Here is a 22,750-nt window from a genome sequence, read left to right on the forward strand (position 1 = left end):
GCCCATTAAAATAGTTTATTTGCAAGTGTTCACATTCACCATAGAATAGAAAATATAGATAAGTAAAAAGAAGGAATTAAAATCATGAATAATCCCACTACCCATAGATAATAACAGATAACAGCTAATATCATTTCAATGTATTCCAAACTTTTTCAATGCCTGGGTGTTATTTTCCCCCTTCCATACCTGTCTGAAGCTCTTAATAGCATATTGTGAACACTGAGTCACTCATTTCCTGGAGGTCAACATCATTTGTGAGAAAGATAGTGGTGAGATGATTAGTAGTGTTTGCCCTTGGAGTGAGCCTAGCTACTTTTATTTTTTTAATTTTTAATTTTAATTTTAATTTTTGTAGAGATGAGGGTCTTTCTTTATTTCTTAGGTAGGTCTTGAACTCCTGGCCTTAGGCAGTCCTCCCACATTAGCCTCCCAAAGCACTGGGATTACAGGAATGAGCCACCACACCTGGTCTAGCTCCTTTTTTCACTCTTGTCCATGTCCATTTTTTCCTTTTTTTTTTTTTTTTTTGAGCAGAGTTTTGCTCTGTCACCCAGGCTGGAGGGCAATGGCATGATCTCAGCTCACTTGCAACCTCTGCCTCCCTGGGTTCAAGTGATTCTCCTGCCTCAGCCTCTCCAGTAGCTGGGATTACAGGCACGCACCACCACACCTGGCTAATTTTTGTATTTTTAGTAGAGATGGGGTTTTACCATGTTGGTTGGCCAGGCTGGTCTTGAACTCCTGACCTCAGGCAATCTGCCCACCTTGGCCTCCCAAAGTGCTAGGATTACAGGTGTGGGCCACCGTGCCTGGCCGATTTTTTCCATTTTGTTCATTCTTTCTTTCAGCCCACAGACTCTTCCTTCTTGCCTCTCCTCTCCACCTGTCCTACTTTTCCTCCCATTTAAGCCTTTTTTTTTCTACCTATGGCCAACCTTTCACTCCTTCTGTTAACCAGCTCTCTCCTTCATCCTTCATGACCCAGTGCAGTCATAAGCGTTTGTGGGAGACATTCCTTGATCCTTGCAGACTCTTAAACACTTTGAGAGTCTGATTTTCCTCTGATTTTCCACAGCATTCTCTTCTTACCTCTATTATTGTACTATCTCATGTGAGCATTACAAATTTAGGTGTCTGCTTCCCTAGAGTAGATTCATTTTATTCATCTCCATAACCCTTGAAATATATGGAAGAGCTTCTGTAACGTTTGCAAAATGAATGAATAAAAACACCCATCCTGTCGGAGTTACCTAGAACTGCTATTTATGAGCACATCTGGAATCCCTTGGCAAGCCCCTGGGCTATCCAGGCTTCTGCCCTTCATACACAAGTACTGTGAGTCCTCCAAGAAAACCTCCTCAAAGGCTCAATTCCAAATCGCACAGAGAGGTATTGAATAACACAGCCAAAAAGGGAAGAAGTACTTTCGGGTAAGATAGGCAGTATATGAGAATAGAGGTCTTGGAAATGCTGTTTATGATGGCCTAGAATCCACGACTAAAGAATGTGCATTTTCGAAGACAAAATTAGTAGCATTACATCTTTATAGAGAAAAGTAGGGCTGCTAGAAACACATCCACATAGCCATGAGGTTGACTGAAGCAAGACAAAAGAGGTGTTTTTCTTTCTTTCTTTCTTTTCTTTCTTTCTTTCTTTCTTTCTTTCTTTCTTTCTTTCTTTCTTTCTTTCTTTCTTTCTTTTCTTTTCTTTTCTTTTCTTTTCTTTTTTTGACTGAGGGCAACAGTCAGTTCTCCAGTCATAATTCTGATGCTCGACAATGATTTGAACAATGAGGGAGGAGGAGGAGGCTAAAGAAGAAAGAGAAGCACCCACTGGGTGGCCTGGGAGGGAGCTACCCAGTGAGCAAATGAATGCAAATGAACTGAGCTGATTTTTGTTGTGATGACAGATGACTTTCCCGCAGGGTCCCAAGAGCAGCCCAGCAGGACAAAGCAGAGGGGCAAAACCGGACCATTGTGCCGGATCTAGGGAATGTTGCTGGTGACTGCTAGCTTGTCTGTCCTTAGAGGAAAACCACCAGAGTTCAAGTTGTGGAGAGCTGAGGAGACTGCATGCAGTATTCTGATTTGTTTCTGTGCCATGTGTCATATTAATGAAGTAGGATTACTTTAAGCTAAAACAATTATACTAGGATTTCAGTGTTTAGTGTTTTTTTATTATTTTGGCTTGTCCTGTTATCATTATGGCTAGCTGTGCTTAAAGAAACATCTAGAGTTTCGCATTATTTTTTCTTAGAAAATGAGAGGAGACACCTGACTTGATCTTTATTAGGGAGTGAAATTTCTGGTCCCTGATAAACATGTAGTTTCACAAAGAGGTGAGACACATCTTGAAGTTATACTTTGAGGATCCTCATTTGGCATTACACAGGGTTGGGCAGTGTGGGTCATCTCCATCTTGTCTCCTCTCCTTTATGCCCTGTGTTCCACCATAGCAAGCATGACCTTTGCCTTTTCTCCTTGGCCAACTCTTACTCATCCTTCACCCAGTACAGCACCCAGCATGTATGGAAAACCTTCTTTGACCATTACAGATTCTGAAATGCTCTGTCCCCTGATTTTCCACAGCACTCTCTTCTTACCTCTATTACTATACTTCACATGAGTGTTACACATTTAGGGAACTGGACAAAGGACCTCTGTGTTGTATGCACATGCTGTGGCTTGTGGCCCAAACAACCCCCAAATCCGTTTTTGTTGTCCTGGGAGGTAATCCTTACCTTCCACTCCACTTTGCTCTTTAATGAGACTAAATGGGCCACCTTTGTTTCTTCTCAAGCAGCATTTGATGAGACTAGTCAGCGATGACAGGCAGCTTTCATCCCCCACTGAGCCAATTCCACCCGGCAGGATTGCACTTGCCCACCTTGATAGGTGGCAAGACAATTACTGATGGCTTTCTAGACCTGCTTCAAAGCTTCCTGTAACCTGGCAGCGAATGAAATGCACAACCTTCCAACTCAATGACATTTAAGGCAACCACTCATCGGTTCAGGCAGCAAAATAAATTGGTACTCAGCTGCTCCCAGTCTATTTTTCTGGTTAGAACTATAAAGAAAAGAAATGATTGTGCCACTGCATGTGTGACAACAACCTGCCCCCTCCCTCAAGCAATCACATTCTCTTGCTCTCTCTGGCTTTGTTCTGGTCCACCTGAAGAACAGAGTGTTAAGGATTATATTTGGAGGTTGCCTAGTGCTATATGTCTACATCTGAGTCCTACACATACAGATAAATATGATGAATGGATATACATTTAAATTACATATCCACCCCTACTGAATTTGTCATTCATTCGTATGAAAATATTTTCCATTAAATATGATAACTCCCTAAAATTCTTATTTAGTCCTTTATTCATGGGACTAAAGTTGCATCACTCAATGGTGACATTTAAAGGACAGTTAATACTGTAACACAGAATAATGACCTTGTGAAGTGTGGTGTATTTGGTGTGCTTATCCAATAATTTATAGATTCCATAAATATTAGTTATGATGTATGAAGAGAACTCAAAAGGCAAGAAATATTTTTCCCAAGGATTGTGAAATGTATCATTTTAAAAAGCATGTTCCAATACTTACTTGCTTCCTGATTTCCCCAAATTTCTTCCCTTCTAAGCCATAAGTGTTGTGTTTCTCCCCCAGTAGTCAAACATTAACAATAAAAACAAGAAAACACTCTTCCTCCCTTCCACCCACCAAACACTGATGTCTTTGGTCTGTACAAACACGAAGAAGAAAAAAAGGAATCAGTCAAACCAAATGATCTTCACTCTCTTTCAGACTAAATCTGCTTTAATCAGTGTGCTAGCACCTTCTGTCAAACTCCCCGACTGCTTAAAGCAATACATTATTCCTTCAGTTTCGGCAAAAGTTAAACCTTTGCCAGCCCCAAAACTGACTCTACGTGGAGGCTGTTGCCAAGTTGATTTTTCTGGCTCAGCCGGGAGGCTGCTCCCTGGCTCTGTTCTAAATTAATAAGGCCAATCAGAAATGCACAAAGCCTGGACGGCCAATCATTCTTCTCGAGGCTTTTGCCATCTCCTCCGCGGTCAGATAAATCATGTTAAAGCCATTCCACCGATGACCATAAATTAGGGGGCCTGGCCGCCGTCCCTCCCAAGGACACCGCAGACTGAGATTATTCTGTCGGCCGCACTCGGCCCCCAAGGAGTAGCACTGCGAGGGTGGAGGGTCCTCCAGCGCGGGGGCGGGGGTGTAGGCCCCGAGTGATTTCCTGCCACAGTGCCGGAGCGGGACTGGCGCTGCCTCCCGGGTCCAGGTTCCAGCCGCTCCCAGCTGTTGGCGGCGCTGCTGAGATGATGGCCTGGATCCCCCAGGTTCCGGGACTCCCCAGGTGGCTCCCCGAGGCTATTTACAGCTGAGGTTCGGCCGGTGATTGCTGGGACGGAAAACTCATTTCTCAGCCTGGCTTTTATTTACACTCTTATTAAGGAGGCTTTCATTCGTGTTGGAATGGCAGCGAGAGGCTGCGGGCCAGGCGGCCGAATGGGTCGTGCCCGAGCGACAGCGGCCGCCTGCGCCGCGACCTTGAGGGCAGAGGAGCGTGGGCGGCGTGCGGGGACAAAGGCGCGCGGGGAGCCTGGGTCACGGCTCTGCAGCAGACACGGGACCTCCACGTTTCTACCACCCCGGAAAGTTGAGCGCCTTGGGGGCTGCATTTCTCCCTTTATTGGTAGCTGGTTCGGCTCGCCCCTTTGCCCGACCACACGCTCTTTGTAAATACAGAATAGGACAAAACGGAAAGAGTGATGTGCTGTCCCCTCCGTCTAAAACCCTAAGTAAATACCCAGTCCTCCCCCAGACTCTTCTCCACCTGTGGTTCAGGTGTCTGGGAAGAAGGCCCTGCACGCCCGTCCGCGCCTCCCCTGCCCGGGGGAGCCCCGGGTAGGCAGTGGCCAAAGACTCTGTAGAACAACTCCCGGGAGGGCAGGCTCGCGGCTGCTCCTCCCGTTGGCAGCGCCTCAAACCCTGGCAGGCCCGCGTGTGTGCATGTGAGCCTGCATGTCCTGAGAATCCCCCTGCAGCCTCGCACATCTGGGTCCCCTAGCCATGCATATTCATGCCCCAGAGCAGTAAACCCAGGTCAGCTGCTCGGAGACAGTGAATCGAGTTCTTGAAAACTGACCAAGCCCGTGACTTCAATAAAATGAAGACAGAGCTGTCTTTTCTCCAACTCCTGAGCAAAGCTCATAACACTTGAGGCATTTTTGTTTTTTTCTGAAAGGGACAAAAGAAACGGGGGAAGTCAGCTGTAGGAGTGGTGTGGAGAGTGTGTCTACAGTTCTTCCATTGCTGTAGAAATCGTGATTTGTTTCTTGTATCCTACCTACTCCCTTTGTTAGTTTCCTCAGCCTCAGGAGAAGTGGGTATCATTTGCAATATTCTTTCTTTTGCATGTGGTCCCTGTTGGTGTAACATGCTCTTCCATTTTACCCTTATCATCCTCCTATTTGGTGATGTTCCTCCCCTCCCCTCTCCTCCCCAGAAAAAAGCAGTTTCCACATGTGCCCTCCTAACCCTCCTTTCTGTAACTTCCATAAAAAATGCCCCTTTTCCGGGCGCGGTGGCTCACACCTGTAATCCCAACACTTTGGGAGACCGAGGGGTGCGGATCACTTGAGGCCAGGAGTTCGAGACCAACCTGAGCAACATGGTGAAACCCTGCTTCTACTAAAAAACAAAAACAAAAAAACCAAAAATTAGCCGGGCGTCGTGGTGCGTACCTGTAATTCCAGTCGCTCTAGAGGCTGAGGCATGAGAATTGCTTGAACCTGGGAGGCAGATGTTGCAGTGAGCCGAGATCGCGCCACTGCACTCCAGCCTAGGCGACAGAGCAAGACTCTGTCTAAAAAAACAAACAAAAAACAAACAAAACTGTTTTCCCTTCCCTGGTGGCTCAGGGGCACAGTCACTCTCTTGCACAGCCTGATGGCAGGAGATGGGGTGAGGGTGGCTGGGCTGGGGTGGCCCTGGGAAGACGATATCAGAACAATAATACTTGACTGCCCTACCAACCTAACCGCCTCATAGCCCCTCAGGACTCCAGTCCAGTGAGGGACACTGTTTAGGGCTGAAATGTGTTCAAAATTTATATGAGAGTCAAAACTGCGAGTATCTCAGAATGTGACTGTATCTGAAGATAGGGCCTTTATAAAGAGGTAATTAAGGTCAAATGAGGTCACATGGGTGGGCCTTAATCCAATCTGGTTAGTGTCCTTTGAAGAAAAGGAAATTCAGACACACAGAGGATTTGTTTACACGGAGAAATGACATGACGAGAGGGAGGCGATCTGCAAGCCAACCAAAGAAGCCTCAGGAGAAACTGAACCTGCTGGCACCTTAGCCACCCAGTCCGTGATATTTTATTATGGCACACGAATACAGGTACTAAGGAGGTCTGTCCAGAAGTCAGTCCTGAAGTCCTCCCTCCTCCTCCGTGACCTGGGAACTCTCCCTCAGGATGGTACTGGCCTGGCACAACTTTTCTTTTTGTTATATTCCAGGTGTTCTTGTTCTTTGAGACAGGAACCTATACCCAGTGAAATTTCCCTGTTGCTGAGTCTTTATTTCTACCCCTCTTGTTTGATTTTTCAGTTTTGTCCTGTGTAAGATTCCCAGATAAAATAGAAGACACCCATTTAAATTTGAATGTCAGATGATAGTAGTTTTTTAGTATGAGTACAACCCAAATATTGCAAGGGACATACTTAATTTAAAAAATTCTTTATCTGAAATTCAAATCCAAGTAGATGTCCTGTATCTTTTGTCTGATAAGTCTGCAAACGTTACTTTAGAGGTGTGTCCTTAGTATCTTTACACAGTGTTTCTCACCTTAGAATCAGCTAGAAAACTTTTTTTTTTTGAGATGGAGTTTCGCTCTTGTTGCCCAGGCTGGAGTGTAGTGGTGTGATCTCGGCTCACCGCAACCTCCACTTCCTGGGTTCAATCGATTCTCCTGCTTCAGCCTCCCAAGTAGCTGCAATTACAGGCACGTGCCACCACACCTGGCTAATTTTGTATTTTTAGTAGAGACGGGTTTCTCCATGTTGGTCAGGCTGGTCTTGAAATCCTGACCTCAGGTGATCCGCCCGCCTCGGCCTCCCAAAGTGCTGGGATTACAGGCGTGAGCCACCGTGCCTGGCCAAAACATTCAAAAGATACTGATGATTGGGTCCCTCCCTGGGGGATTCTGATTTAATTGGTCTGAGGTCTGACCTGGTAGACAGGGTTTTTTTAATGCTCCCAGGTGATGTTAACATGCAGCCAAGCTACAGAAGCACTGCAGGAAGGGACAGGTATTAACTAAATGTTCACAGCTATTTCATTGTTGTATTTAAGCTCCCTTAAGCTTAAATTCTTTGGGTTTCTTGTTCCTTTGTTCTGCTAAAAATGTCATCTTATTACTCCTCTTATTGCTGAGCCCAGAGGCAAAGGTCAAACAGATCATCGAAAAATGCCCTGTTAGTATGTGAAATGGTCATCTTATTTCAGGTCAACTGAGCCCATAGAGAGAGATGTCAAGAGCTGTAATATTGATACCACCACAGCAAATGACTTTCCATCCAGACACATTCGGTTTTATAACAAATAGTGCAACTGGGCACCCTGGTAAAAGATTTACCTTTTACCATTACTTTTATTACAGACCACTGCTCAAGAATGTAGGATCTGTTTTAAGCATACTTCTAGTTCAAGAGGATTTGAACATAATTTCGTTCAGTTCTTCCAGACCCTGACTATCTGTCCTTTTTGACTATTAGTTGGCATTTATAGAGAGCCAAATCTTACTTGCTCCTCACTATTTACTGAAAAGTTGGAAGATTCAGGTACTATGGTTAAAACCCGTGGGGTAACACACCATTCATTCTGCTTGTGTAAGGGCCTTATAATGGGGTCTGGTACTCAATGTCACCATGAAGACAAGCCTTGACAACATACACCTTCATAGTGCATGCTAAGGAGCTGTTGGCAGAGCTACAGCTGAGCAAGAGTCAAAACTAGATGAGAGGAAAATAAGATGCCTGTGACAAAAACACATTTTATAGAAAATGGTGCTGGTGGGTCAGCAGATGACATTGATTAGTTAGTATGTCTCAGTGCAAAGTTCAGGGATGGGGATTCAATGTGAAAGGGCTTTGTTAAAAATGCCATCCAAATAAGGGTGTACACAATGGAGGTTTTGTGACTAGCCCTTATTATCTAATGAGAAGTTACAGAAAACTGGAGTGGTAATTGGCAGTTGGGTGTCGACTACATATAAGCTTTAGATTTGAAATATTGGCTTTGGTGCTACTTGGCACTGTGTCCATGGGAAACTACTTTACCTACCTGAACTTTTATTTTTTCATGTGGAAAAGGGCTTTCAGAATGGCAGAATAAAAACCTCTGAAAATCTACTCCTCCATACAAAGAAAATTCTGGCAAAAATTGCCAGAACCAACTTTTTCAGAACTCTGGAAATTAACCAAAGGACTGCAACAATCTGAGGAATGTGTATTCAAGAAAAATGGCTGAACCTCAGTAAAAATAGGGAGCTTTGTGACATTTAGTTTTAAAGAGACAGGGTCTCTGTCACCCAGGCTGGAGTGCAGTGGTGCAATCATAGCTCACTGCAGCCTCAAACGATCCTCCCACTTCAGTCTTCTGAGTAGGTGGGACTACAGGTGCGTGCCACCATGCCCAGCTAATTTTTATTTTTTATTTTTAGAGGCAAGACTTTGCCTCTAAAGTTGCTCAGGCTGGTCTCAAACTCCTGGGCTCAAGCGATCTTCTCACCTCAGCATCTTTGAATAGTCGGGATTACAGGCATGTGACACCTCACCTGTATGTAACATTTTTACTTGACCAATCTCCTTACCCTTCTTTCCAGATCTGTGGTAGGCTTGAACACTAACAGCTTCTCAACCATGACAGCTCTGAGTACCAGCAGACTAGCAGCCAACAGTGAGGCAGAATAGGTTTGCAGCCCTAGCAGACCTGTTTACAAGAAATGCTTTTTTTTTTTTTTTTTTTTTTTTGGAGACAGGGTCTCACTCTGCTGCCCAGGCTGGAGCACAGTGGTGTGATCATGGGTCACTGCAGCCTCAGACTCTTGGGTTCAGTGATCCTCCTACTTCACCCTTTCACGCAGCCAGGACTACAGGTGCACACCCGGTTTATTTGTAAACTTTTTTTTTTTTTTGAGACAGAGTCTCGTTCTATCACACAGGCTGAAGTGCAGGCATGATCTCTGCTCACTGCAACCTCCGTCTCCCCGGCTCAAGCGATCCTTCTGCCTCAGCCTCCCAAGTAGCTGGGACTACAGGTACATGACGCCACATCCGGCTAATTTTTGTATTTTTTTGTGGAGATGGGGATTTGATATGTTGTCCAGGCTGGTCTCAAACTTCTGAGCTCAAGTGATCCACCCATCTTGGCCTCCCAAAGTGCTGGGATTACAGGCATGAGCCACCACACTGGCTAAGTTTTTTGTAGACATGGGGTTTCACTATGTTGTCCAGGTTGGTCTTGAACTCCTGGCCTCAAGTGATCCTCCCACCTTGGCCTCCCAAAGTGCTGGGATTACAGGCATGAGCCATATACCTGGCCTACAAGAAATACTAAGGGGAGTCCTTCAGGCTAAAATGAAGGGACACTAGGGAATAACTTGAATCCACATGAAGAAATAAAGGATGCTGGTAAAGGTAAATACACAGAAACCATAAAAGGCAGTAGAAATGTATTTTGTTTCTAATTCTTTTCTTCTCCCATATAATTTAAAAGACAACTACATAAAACAATAATTACTAAACTGTTGACAGGCTTATACTGTAGAGAGTTGTAATTTGTATGACAAATAGCACAGAAGAGAAGGAAGGAAATGGAAGTATATATTGCAGCTAAGTTTTTGTTTACTATTGAAATTAAGTTTGTATTAATCCAAACTATATTGTTTTAAGATGTTATTGTAATCTTCAGGACAACCATTAAGAAAATAACTCTGTTAGGAGAGCAGTGGGGTCCTCAGTATGGTTCCTTTAGGCAGCTCTGCTGACCCCACCCTTTCCTGAACTGCCCTTCTGTCCCAGAGGAGTCACGCTGACCCCACCCACCTTGCTGCTGGGCTTTGGACCCCAGTCTTGAAAAGGCCCGGCCGTGCTGGCTCTGCCCCTCAAAGGGGCTGTGAGCAAGGTAGGAGGGAGCTGGTCTCCTTTCTTGGGCCCCACCTAGGACCCGAGCACCACCTACCCCTGTGAGGGCCCCAGGCCTTAAGTCCCTGGTTGGGGGCGGGGGGGGGGGGTGCTATGGGTTTGTGACTCCAGCAGAGCAGAGGAACAGGGCACTGGAAGTGAGCTCAGCATGTGATTCAGTGATGGACCAGGTTTGGAAGGGCCAGTATACTTGTCATTGTTGTCGTTGGTTTGTTGTTGTATGTTCCAGGATATCAGTATTTTAACAGGTTCTAAGTGCCTTTCTATTGTAACTTATGTTTTCCCTCCTCTTGGCTCCATTGCTGTTAGCATAGTTTAAAAAAAAGAAATAAGCTAATGACTATAACAATATATTCCTCCATGGGAGAGGAAGTTTATAAAGAAACAGTAAAAGTGAGTTGCAAAAAATAAAAAATAAAGAAACAACAGGAAATTAAAATGGTATACTGGAAATTATTTCTCACAAAATAAGGCAGTAATGGAAAAATAAAGGAGTAAAAAGACAGACACATAGAAAACAAATAGCAAAATGGCAGATGTAATTCCTATTTAATCGTTAATCAGGTTAAGTTTCTATGGACTGAGAATTCCAATCAAAAGGTAGAGATTGGCATAATGAATTAAAAAAAAAGACTCAACTATATTTCTCTATAAAATACACTTTAGATTCAAAAATGCATACAGGCTGAATGTGAAAGGATGGGAAAAGATGTACTATGCAAAAAGTAACCAAATAAGGGCAGGAGTGGCTGTACAAATATGTAACAAAATAGACTTTAAGACAAAAATTGCTGGCAGAGACAAGGGATACTTTACAATTAAAAAAGGCCAATCCATCAGGAAAACAATTATAAACACAGATGCACCTAACAACAGAGCCCCCACCCTAAAATACATGAAGCAAGGACAGACAGAATGGAAGAAACAGCCAACTCAACAGTAATAGTTGGAGACTTTCATACCCTACTTTCAATAATTGATAGAAAAATTAGGTAGAAGATCAATAAGAAAATAGAAGACTTGGACAGTATGATGAACTAACTAGGTCTAACAGACATCTACAGAACAGCCAACAACAGCAGAATACACATTCTTCTCATGTGCACATGGCACCTTCTCCAGGATAGATCGTATGTTAAGCCACAAAACAAACCAATATGTTAAAAGGATTGAAATCATACAAAGTATGTTCTCAGATCACAATAGAATGAAATTATTTCCTCATCTGCAAAAAATGATAACATCTACCTGAGCGGGCGATACAAGAATTAAAACCAAGTAGCCAGCATGGGGCATAATAAACTTTTTTATTATGAGATACTTTGTTAATTGTAAGAACAGATTGCATGTATGCTTTCCTTTGCCTCATGACTAGAGTGTGGCAAATGATGGGTTAACTTCCTCCTTTTAAATTAGAAAAAAATATTAACCATTTTCAATTTGTGGCAGATTATAAAATTGATAGTGTTATAGTTTTGAGAAAATACAGTATCACAACCCCGATGCATCTTACCACCAATATGACTAGAAGCTGAATGTAGGACTACCTTAGAATACAAACTGGCAAATTTATAAATTGCCCTGTGTTTATAAAACAAGATAAATGATTATGGATCTACCTGAATTTTCCTTAGCAATAGGCCATGAGTGTTCATTCATATGTTTGACTCTCTTCATTTCACACCAGAGAGGCAAGATCAGGCCACATTCTTTTTTTTTTTTTTTTTTTTTTTTTTTGAGACGGAGTCTCGCTCTTCCGCCCAGGCTGGCGTGCAGTGGCGCTATCTCGGCTCACTGCAAGCTCCGCCTCCCGGGTCCACGCCATTCTCCTGCCTCAGCCTCCAGGGTAGCTGGGACTACAGGCGCCCGCCACCACGCCCGGCTAATTTTTTCTATTTTTAGTAGAGACGGGGTTTCACCGTGTTAGCCAGGATGGTCTGGATCTCCTGACCTCGTGATCCGCCCGCCTCGGCCTCGCAAAGTGCTGGGATTACAGGCGTGAGCCACCGTGCCCGGCCAGGCCACATTCTTACGAGTTAATTCTTCTAGTCAAGGAATAAAGCTTGACCTTATACTGTCTTAAAACAGATCTTAGTTCAGATTATCTATGGCTGCTTTTGTGCAACAATAGCTGGTTTGAGTAGCTGTGACAGAGTCCAAATGGCTCATAAAGCCTAAAATATTTACAATTGGGATCTTTACAGAAAAAGTTTGCAGAACCATAACCTAAGAACTAAATAAATAATCCTTGGGTGGCGCTGGCAGATGATATTCCAGGAAAGACACTGAAAAAAACATGCAGTCATCCTTTTATTTCCAAGTTTGCATAACTTTCTTCAATATGGCCAATCTTGTTTCATCTGTAAACCCATCCCCTCCCTTCCCTTTATTACTTTGAAGCAAATCCAAGACATACATTGGTAATATTTTATCTACAAATATCGGAGTCTATTTGCATTGTATTTTAAGGCATATAATACTTATGATAGCATTTATCTTTTTTGCAAATATGAGAACAACCACACTGTTAATTTTCCTTCAAATTCTACGGTGCAATTGGTAGATTGGCCAAATGTTCTCTGACTTGTATTTAAAAATGATAAGAATGAGCTGGGTGCGGTGGCTTACACCTACAATCCCAGCACTTTGGGAGGCTGAGGTGGAAGCCCAGGAGTTTGAGGCCAGCCTGGGCAACATAGCATGACCCTGTCTCTACAGGCATGGTGGCACATGCGTGTAGTCCCAGCTACTTAGGAAGCTGAGGCAGGAGGATCACTTGAGTCTAGGGATTTGTGGTTGCAGTGAGCCATGTTCGCACCACTGTACTCTAGCCTGGGCAAAAGATCAAGACCCTGTCTCAAGAAAAAAAAAAAAAAATCCCAAAATGAGAAATTTAATTTTTTCACCTAAGACAGTAATAGTGGAAACTTCACAGTTCTCCAGAAATTTCTCCCAACTTTTTTTTTCACTGACCAAACTCAGTAGGGAGGTAAATATCTAATTCAGAACTGCTGAGACCACTATTTTCAGGTTTTACAGTTATTTAGTTTAAATCAAAGATGTTTGGTTACTAAGCCTACACTTCCTGTAGTGTTTGAAGGGTGTGAGGTGACTCAGCTTGGGACATTTTGCTGCTGTAACTTCACATTTCTCTCACTTTCATGTCAACCATTCCTATACCCCCATCCACAGTTCTGAATGAGCTCACCTACTTTTACTTTATAGTGATTAAATTTGCAAATACCAAATTTTAAAAAGAGGATTAAAGAAAAAGCTCAGATTTGTATGGCCCTTTCAGGGAAGGGCTGTCCTTTAGGTCTGCATTCAGACCTTCCAAAGCCCTGTCCGTGGCCCCACTTGCACCAACAAACTGATCCGACCCAGTCCCCAGAAGACAACCGAGGTGCACACTGCCCCCACCTTGTGCTCAGTCATACTTGGAATGTGTCGCAGGCAGCCTAATTGAAATCAGTAAAGCAAAAAGGGTTAGCTAGCTGGAGGATCTTGTCAGAAGTGAAAGACAAGAGACTGAAAATGTAGGGAATATACTGAGTGAGCAGCAGTGTTTTCAGGGTTCTAATGATAGAGAACACAATTAAAAAGGCAGACTAATTGCTAGGAAAGGTAATTCATTCTTTGGCTTGTCATTTAAAGGAAACAACTGGGATGGCAATAAGTGTGAAGTATTTTGTAGATAGGGATTTTTTTTTGAGACAGGATCTCGCTCTCTCACCCAGATTGGAGTGCAATGATGCGATCGTGGCTCATTGAAGGCTTGATCTTTCGGGTTCAAATGATCCTTCCACCTCAGTCTCCTGAGTTGTGGGGACTATAGTTGTGCACCACCACATTTGGCTAAGTTTTGTATTTTTTTTTGTAGGGACTGGGTTTCATCATGTTGCCCAGGCTGGTCTTAAACTCCTGAGCTCACGTGATCTGCCCACTTTAGCCTCACAGAGATTGGGATTACAGGCATGAGCCACCATGTCCAGCTGAGATTTTTAAATGAGAATTTTTAAATATACACACACAATTTGAAAATGGTCTTATTTTCCCTAACACTGTGAAGTTCTTTAGAATCAAAGAGCCATTTGACTGTACCAAAGGTCATAAGTAGTACAACATAGGATGGTCTTATCATAAATTTGTGGTTAAATTAGCGACCTTTGTTTTCCCCTTCTAGGCTCATAGCCTCCAAATGGCCATCACTTTCTTGGCTTAGTAAGGCTCATTACCAGCTGCAAGCAGCAGCAAAAGCATACACGTGAATGTAGGGATTATGAGTTCGTCCCTGCATTACTGCTAAAAAACTGATTCTCCCATTTCAGTCACCCTACCACATTGCATATGGAAGATTATTTCCCACGTCAGAAGTATATTTTCTCAATGCCATTTTCTCTTTAAAAAATTTACATTTTTAACCATTTTACTCCCAAACCCCGAGAGCCAGGTTCTCTATACCTTATTATTTGTTCATGGATCTGTGGGCCAGGAATTTGAGCAGGGCTAAGTGGGGATGATTCTCTGCTCTATAATGTTTGTGGCCTCAAGCGGAATGACCCAAATAGCTGAGAGCTGGCTAGGCCTCTCTCTCCTTATGTTATCACCTGGAGGGACTCATTTGGGGCCTCACTCCCAATGTCTGGGCACTGTGGTTCTCTCCCACGTGGCCTCTACTCACTCACTAATCTAGTCTGACATTTACAGGGTGACTGGCTTCCAAGAGTGAAAAAGCAGGTGCTAGGAGACCTCCAGAGATCTCAGCTCAGAAGTCTCAGAATGTCACTTCTGCATTTTATTAAAGCAAGTCACAAGCCAGACCAGACTCAAGGGGTGGGGAAACAAACTCCACCTCTTGATGGGAAAAGGAACACTTGCATACAGACATAGGAAGCATTGTTGGCAGCCATTTTGGGAGACAACTGCCACACCTTTCAAGAGCTAATCACGACAGAATGTTAGAAGACTCCTCCATCTTCCATGGAGAAGAAATGTCCCAATCTCCTGGTATCTAATCCAAGGATGGATTTTTTCCATTGTTTTCCACTACTGAGTTGGGGAGAAGGAGGCAGCATCAGCATTAGGGTACAAGTGAAGGTGAATAGAGCTGAGGATGTTTCACAATAATAGCATTCTAATATGACTGTCTTCCATTCTGTTCTTCCCAAGCTTCCACTTTTAGCTTGCTTTTGTGAATCAAGACCGTGGATCATTCAAAATAGTTTTTTCTTTTTCTTCTTTTTTTTTTTTTTGAGACAGGGTCTCCCTCTGTCCCCCAGGCTGGAGTGTAGTGGCACAATCACAGCTCACTGCAGCCCCAACCTAGGTGCAAGTGATCCTTCCACTTCAGCCTCCTGAGTAGCTGGGACTATAGGCACAGCTATAGTCATCACCACACCTGGCTAATTTTTATAGAGATGGGGTCTTGGTATGTTGCCCATGCTGGTCTTGAACGCTTGGGCTCAAGCAATCCTCCCCGCTTGGCCTCCCAAAGTGCTGGGATTACAGGCATGAGCCACCATGCCTGGTCATTTAAAATATTTTGTTGGTATTTTATAGATTACTTTTAACTTCCTGGATTTTAGAACTAAGCAGAATTAGCATGCTCTGATGCCTTATCCCACCTGTCACAGTAACTTTCCTCTATAAGATGGTACATTTTACTAACCCTTTGTAAGTACATACTTAAAATGCTTAAGCGATGAAGGGAAGTCTGGATTCTTACTGTCTTCAGCAAGATTAGGCTCTAGCCCTCTCACTTAAGAATACCTCTTGGGAGTAATTCTTTTCTCTGAATTATTCATGTGTTTACTAATGGTATCCATGGTAATAATGGTATCCAAAGGCATAGTTGAAATGTATTAGCCTTTACTGTTATTCCTGTGAAGGCTTATAGTGTTGGCATCCATTCCCTCTGGATTTCGAGTCTGTGTTCACAGTTGATAATCTCACATTGAGCCATGATACTCTTTGTATCATTATCATTACCTGATATAAAGAAACCAGACAGACCATTACCTGATACAAAGAAACTTCACAGTGAATTCATAGAAAAGACAGAAAAAAGTTTTGCTGAATATGTCGTATATACATATATATAATATTTTATTTTAAAATGTCATTGAACATATACATTTCTTTAGCTTTTTCCAGGGGACATTGCACCTAAGTTTCAAAACACACAAAATAGATCCCCTTTACTAAACAGTTTTCATTTTGGGGTTACAAAAAAGTCAATGTTTCACAATCACAAAGCATAAAGGTACATGGTTCTGAAACAATTTCCAGGCAGATTTCTCTCATTCACTGTACTAGGGTAGTTTTGGAAACCCAGACCATGATCCATTCCTTACAAATGATCTCCACCATGGGCCTCCCTGGGTCTCCAGAAAAAAAACAAAGAAAACTGGGGGCAAAACAGGAGTAAAATAATAACCTCAGGACTCAGGAAACAAACACAAAATACTTGTGGGAGATCAGAAAAGTAGAGGACACAGGTTCTCCTTCAAGTACATCACAGTAGAAAACTACAGCACATTTACAGCCTTATTTGGTCACTGTCTACCTGGTTGCTACATGAACAAAACTTCACCTAAGACACAGAAGAAAAATTAAAGCTATTTACACAGATAACACTGTGGATTCGAAAGAGCAGTCCTCTGCAGACCGGCACTCCATCTGACAAAAGCCACAGTGCTCACAGAAGAGGCAAGTCAGTCTGCTCGCGTAGCGTCCTTTGAAAAATCCCAGTGTACAAACATGTGCCACGTCACCACACAAAACCAAAGTCTGCTCAGAGAGGTGGGCTATGGTGTGCAGGCTGCAACCTTTCTCTGCAATTGTTAAGTCTTCAAAAATCTGAGTTCCTCACATAAAATTCTGTGCTGTGGCCAGAGCTCGTTTTACCATTTTCTTAGATTGGATCACTTTTAGGATCAGCTTCGTTGTTCTTTGCGTAGACAATGACTCTCACAGCTTTCTCCAAGTGTCCCAGAAGCACTAACTTACTGAAAATAGAATCTCATCAAAGCTTAACATATTCACTCTGAAAACAGCGGAGCTGCTGGGTCGCTTAAGGAAAGCTGAGAACCTCAAACCTGTGGAAGGAAAACCAGTGACCACTTGTGGCCTTATAAAGTTGATTGGCAGGTGAGGAAGGGGATCTCAAGAGGAGAATCCGAATTTCAAAGACATGGGAGATTTGTCCCTAATGTTTTCATACTAGTGCTCTTGTTAAATGGAAAACCCTTCCTGAATGGGGAAGATCTGAGGCTAAATCTGGATCCTGGGACTCTCATTCTTGCCCACCACCATCTCCCTGTGGCTGTCATTCTTCCCTGGAAGTGAATGAATACTGAGAACACAGTAAGAGGAGGGTGGTCACAGCTGACTTCACAAAGCCTCATGGAGGTTAAGTTGTTCAAGAATTTAAAAAGTAAACACCCCAAATCCTCCAAAATGGAATACTGTGGAAAATAACTGAAATTTCCACTGCTTAAGGCTTCATCCTATTAAGACAGCTGAGTACTTGGCCTGGCCCGATTTTCACCTTTCCTTTTACACCTCAAGAACAGCAGATAGGTATGCATAACCACAGCAGAACACACCCTCCACCTCTCTGACTGCTGACACTGGCTACAGGAATAAGGCTTTGGTTATCATCTAGCAAAATGCCACAGAGCATGGACGGACTGAGTTTGTTCTAAGGAAAGGAGTTTCACCAGATAGTCTGAAGAGGCCCAGCCCAGCAAAGAGATTTAGAGCAGGAAAGCCTTTCATTAAAGTAGCCACACACCCCTCGAGACAACCATAAAGACTTGACTAGGAAATCAAAAGGTTTTTATTAAACAAGACTTCCTCTGAGGCTATTCGAGCAAGCAGATTTGGCTATAAGTCAGATACGCAAGATTTCTGAACCATGTATAAATACGTTCTGCAGAATTTCGAAGTGTGCGTCCTTTGACTTTTCCAGGGATGCACCAGGGGCCAACCCGTTATGTAGACACGGTTACTGTTTTAGGACTGGGTGACATGGGGCCTGGGTAAAAAAATAAGGCCAAAACTGAGTAAGCTCAATTTATAGAGCAATATCAGTGCTGGACAGATCTGCCATGCTTCGTTTACATCATGTTTCCTACTTTTGATTTCTTCATCTTATTTATAGTCTTCCTCCCATCCCCTGAACACAAACTTGACTTTATCTTCTAACTAAGATCTTTCCACTCAAGGGGGCGTAGGAAAACAATTCCTGGATGCCTTTCTAACTAAAACCAGCAGGACTAAGTGCTCAAGATTTTATAATATTTCGATTTAGAGGTTTCTAGAGTTATTCCTGAGACGTGCCATAGCAGTAAATGAATTGGTGAATTGAGTAGAAGGTAGTTGTGACATCTACACCCAAATTCTTACTCTGGTGGCTTGAATAAAACTGGAGAAGCTCAAGGTAGGGCCCAGATAGAGGCCCAGGAAAGCAAATAAATGAAAGACGGTGGGGACACAGGAAGGATCCCAAAGACGGCAGCTCAGGGTCCTCCACGGAAGACTTGCTCAGGTTTCCTACTTACACATGACTCTGAGTGCCAGGGCAGAACAGGGAGTGGACCACACTGCTGTCACATGCCCGAAGGTTTTCCTACAGCATCAGACTCTGCCACGAAGCAAAGCATTTTCCACAAACTTCTCTCCATAGAGATATCTGGGGTAGCTAAGATCTACTGCAGGAGGAAGAAACGTGCTGCAGATGAAGACAACTCCTGACAAGGCCGAAGTCCCATTCTTCCCAGGCCAACACTTGCACAAACACCTGGTGGCGTGAATTCCCACAGTATTTCACCTGCCAGACGGCACTGTCTCCACACCCTGGAATGAGTTCTTTCCTGAGCAGGAGGGGCTCCAGGCCTTTTCGAATACAATACCGACAACTCCAGAAATGCAGGTGATTTACTGCCCTGGAGGAGAGGTTCCTATCCTCTCCTCTGGGAAGAAATTCAAACAAATATGAGAACTGGAATTAGCTCTCTAGCATGCTGGGGGGGTCACGTCAGTGACCTTTTTTCCTTTTTGGGTCAGAAGAGTGTTTTAATTACTCAAAGTTGTCAAAATGGTGGCAATACCTCAGTAGCTCAGCAGGAAGAAGACTAGGTAATTTTGTGGCCGTACAAGTCTGCCTAAGAGACAGAAGTGAGTTTTATAATCTACTTGGCCATTCCTCCCAGCAGAGAAGCAGCAGGTAGATATGGCATGCACTGTGCCTGCTGCTGCTGCTCTTGTGGCGAACACTCAGATGTGGAACCATAGAGGGACCTTGAGGAGCTGGGACATGATTCTTTAGAGAAGAGAAGAGACAGGGAGCACAGCATGAGAATGGCCAGTCAACCCATTTCAAATTCTTTTATTAAAGTGCCCCCCGAGGGGCCTTGCACAAAGATGATGGGGAGAGCAGAACTGCTGCTCCTTGACAGAACTCTGATCCTTACACTTTGTTTGGAGTGGGCTTGGGGACAGTCACAAGCCATGAAACATGAATCCAAAATGGTCCCCAGATGAGCCATGGTGAACCAACAGATGCAAGCAACTTCTTAAACTGCTCTATTAAACACTGCTTTATATGTGTCCCCATGATACAGAAAAGTGGGATGGGGCCAGCCATTCCAGAAATGAAAATCCAGACTCTCACAGAGAACCCTTGAGCCACACAGGAAGACCACTGAAGACAACAGAGGAACTACTGGTCCACAGAAACACTCAGTTTCATGAAAACACACTGATTCGGTTAGAAAATGCAACTTGGGAACAAACATTACACAACAAAGACCCTCTGTCATGCAGGGCACTGGCCCGGATGCTGCCTGGGCTGTGTGGGCTGGAGGAGGTGGGGACAACCCAGCCTGGGTGGGACTTGGACACAGAACTTCCTTAGCAGGGTGTTGGAAAGTCCCAGGCCTGTTCTGTGGAAGGGGAATAAAAAACAGATTCAAGGAATGTCAAAAACACGAAAAAAAAAAAAAAAAATCCCTGCCTCACTCCACCACTGCCATAAAAGAATAGAAACAGAGAAGAAAAAAAGAGAAGGGGGGCGGGGGGCAGACGGCAATCCCTGAAATAAACCTCAGGCTTCCTAGAAGGTGGGCACTTACTTACATTTTGAGGCATGACCCCCTACTTTCCAATGCAGCACTTTTTAACCCGTAGATAAGCTGGCAGCTTGACAGGCTGAAGAGTCCTCTGCCATTTACACCTGAAAATGGCTGCCCCAGCTACTCTAGATAAAATAAATATGACATATATACCCCAAATAGTCAATGGCCACCTCGGAGGCCTATGAAAGGAACTGAAATACAACAACACTTGGTAGCAGCCTTTGTGTTTTGCTCTTGTTGAGTTGACCTGTTACTAAAGAAGAAATGGAAACCAAAGGGTCATCTTGAAGCATAGTCTTTTGGCCATGAACTCCCCGCTTGGGCTGGGAAGAGACTGCATCACTTGGAACTCAGCTGGGGCACTTCCCAGTTCCGTCCTGCCAAGAGGCATCCCAGCTTTCTTCCCCTCTGTCCTCCCAATCCCCTGGGCCATTTTCATGACAGCTTGTTTCCATGTATTAAAGGAATGACATATACAGAAATGTCGTCTCCTGAGCCCAGTCGGTCATTAGATATCCGCCATCCTCTGTCCTTCAGCACACCCCGGGCACGCATCACCAGGTCCTGAGCTGCCAGTGTGTACCTACACAGGAGAACCAGGAACGAGACAGTCAGTAGAGCATCAGACAGAAGCCAGGGTCAAGTGAGGCTGGGAAGGGGGAGGCATCACTACAGTTGTATAAATAAGTTTCAAATACACTTACAATACGAAAAAGACAAGGTCATCTTTTCCCAAAATGTAGGACACCTAATGTGAGATTATTGTTTACATGGTAGTGGGATAAGGCACTAAATACATTAGATAATGTCTTACATTATTCACCTCCTCAGTCCTCTTTTGATGTTTTTGATTGATTACATTGAGGGGAGTCTCAGTTTGCTGCTAGTATAGCTCAAAGAGCTGCTCAAGCTCAGAGCTTTCCATGACAAATGGTATCTAGCTTAAAAAGTACATGGGAAAAATCAGAACTTTTGTTTTCAATATATTTAGTTTTAGAGTTATATTGCTTTTGTGACAAAGAATAGTCATTTTCTATTTATGGTAAAAATCATTTAAAATAAATTTTTTAAAAAAGTGAGTTAAGGAAAAATGTTAAAAATAATACAACCTGGCATAAGCATATAGCAAGAATGTGAAGTTTTTTGGTTTTTTTTTTTAATTTATTTAATTTTTTTTTTTGTAAATGACTGATAAGCCTTGGTGTGAGTGAGCTGCTTACTTGTCAGCGTCACCCTCTCCTCTTGACCAATGTAAGTTCAGCAAGGGATCCCTTAAGAATTTGAAAATAAGATTGCTGAGATTTAAACTGTAAGCTTAAGGAGAAAGAATGACACTGTAAGCTGATGGGAAAGTATTAACATCTAGGAGAAAGACTAACTTGGGAAGTGATTTGGGTGGGTATGGGCCTGGGTTAGCCCTGAGGCATAAAAAAATGAGACAAAACATTGGCAGGTGTCTATCCAAACACTGACCAGAGCAGAGGGAGTCATAGTTGACAGCCTTCAAAGGAACTTAGTTCCACTGGCAGGGTCATATTTGGTGTGGGATGGACTATTTTCTTAGTCTATACCATTAAGCATATGATTCAGCTTTATTCTGATTTCGTGTTCACCAAAGAACCTCCTGATTATGATCTGCCTCCCTGTGTAGGCCTGCCTGCAGGAAAGAATGAGCTAGTCGTTTTTACTTTAAGAATATCCATCAGTTATATTTCTTTGCTTAAATGTCAAGTGGCATTTTGCTTTACAGATCAATCTTGTGAGCTTGGTTAAGGTGAGACCAACTCTGATAATGAATCTCTTTTCTGTATCTTGATTAAATCAGTTTCTGAACCTGAAAAGCTAAGAGCCAGACTGGTAAATCATCAAGATAATAAATGTCACCGTATAAGTCCTCTTGGAAGCCAGCCTGTGGGCCTTTTACAAGGGACCACCCTGATATTGCTAGTGACCTTTCTCTACTTGGAATGTTTCAGTAGTCTCGCCTTCAGAGCTGTGAGTTATGGAATTCAGAACCCCAGAAGCCTCTCCATTTCTTTTGCTAAAATTCACAGACTTTCATGTTGAGAACTGCATCATTGTTACATTATTTAAGAACAAGTCCTCTAACAAATGATCCCAGGATTGTGAAGATTCCAAGTTGTTCAGTCTTTGAGGATCAAGTCTATTTGTACAGCCCAGATAGCAGACAGAAGTGTAACATACACTACAGCAGAAAGGATATTATAGTCAATACAAAATAAATACCTTTCCTTCTAGAGGATGGGGTAGTAGGTGAATAATTTTTTCTATCTGTATTGAGAGAATTATCATCTTTGAGGCAGAAATCTTTAAGTTATTCTTGAGGGAAGATGCAAACAGTTCGTCCTGAG

General features: G+C 43.3%; 1 protein-coding gene across 2 annotated transcripts in view, besides 3 other annotated features; it reads right to left on the reverse strand.

The window, feature by feature from the left end:
- Positions 1,463 to 2,181: an enhancer, noted in NCBI's record as "NANOG hESC enhancer chr12:63022918-63023636 (GRCh37/hg19 assembly coordinates)". NCBI's record gives its function as "activates a minimal SCP1, AML or CMV promoter by ChIP-STARR-seq in naive H9 embryonic stem cells {active_cell/tissue: H9 hESC(naive)}" and the evidence as "EXISTENCE:reporter gene assay evidence [ECO:0000049][PMID:30033119]".
- Positions 2,507 to 3,131: an enhancer, noted in NCBI's record as "OCT4-NANOG hESC enhancer chr12:63023962-63024586 (GRCh37/hg19 assembly coordinates)". NCBI's record gives its function as "activates a minimal SCP1, AML or CMV promoter by ChIP-STARR-seq in naive and primed H9 embryonic stem cells {active_cell/tissue: H9 hESC(naive and primed)}" and the evidence as "EXISTENCE:reporter gene assay evidence [ECO:0000049][PMID:30033119]".
- Positions 14,870 to 15,070: a silencer, noted in NCBI's record as "peak1753 fragment used in MPRA reporter construct". NCBI's record gives its function as "represses an SCP1 promoter by STARR-seq MPRAs in K562 erythroleukemia cells {active_cell/tissue: K562}" and the evidence as "EXISTENCE:reporter gene assay evidence [ECO:0000049][PMID:32103011]".
- PPM1H (protein phosphatase, Mg2+/Mn2+ dependent 1H) overlaps positions 16,319 to 22,750 on the reverse strand; it is a 291,157-nt gene continuing 284,725 nt past the window's right edge. For both annotated transcript variants that reach the window (NM_020700.2, XM_011538578.3), the window contains exon 10: positions 16,319 to 20,961. In NM_020700.2, coding sequence (NP_065751.1) covers positions 20,814 to 20,961 — 148 coding nt within the window. In that variant the 3' untranslated portion in view covers positions 16,319 to 20,813. The remainder of the gene's footprint in view (positions 20,962 to 22,750) is intronic.

Source organism: Homo sapiens, chromosome 12 (assembly GCF_000001405.40).
Source record: "Homo sapiens chromosome 12, GRCh38.p14 Primary Assembly".
Lineage (NCBI taxonomy): Eukaryota > Metazoa > Chordata > Mammalia > Primates > Hominidae > Homo > Homo sapiens.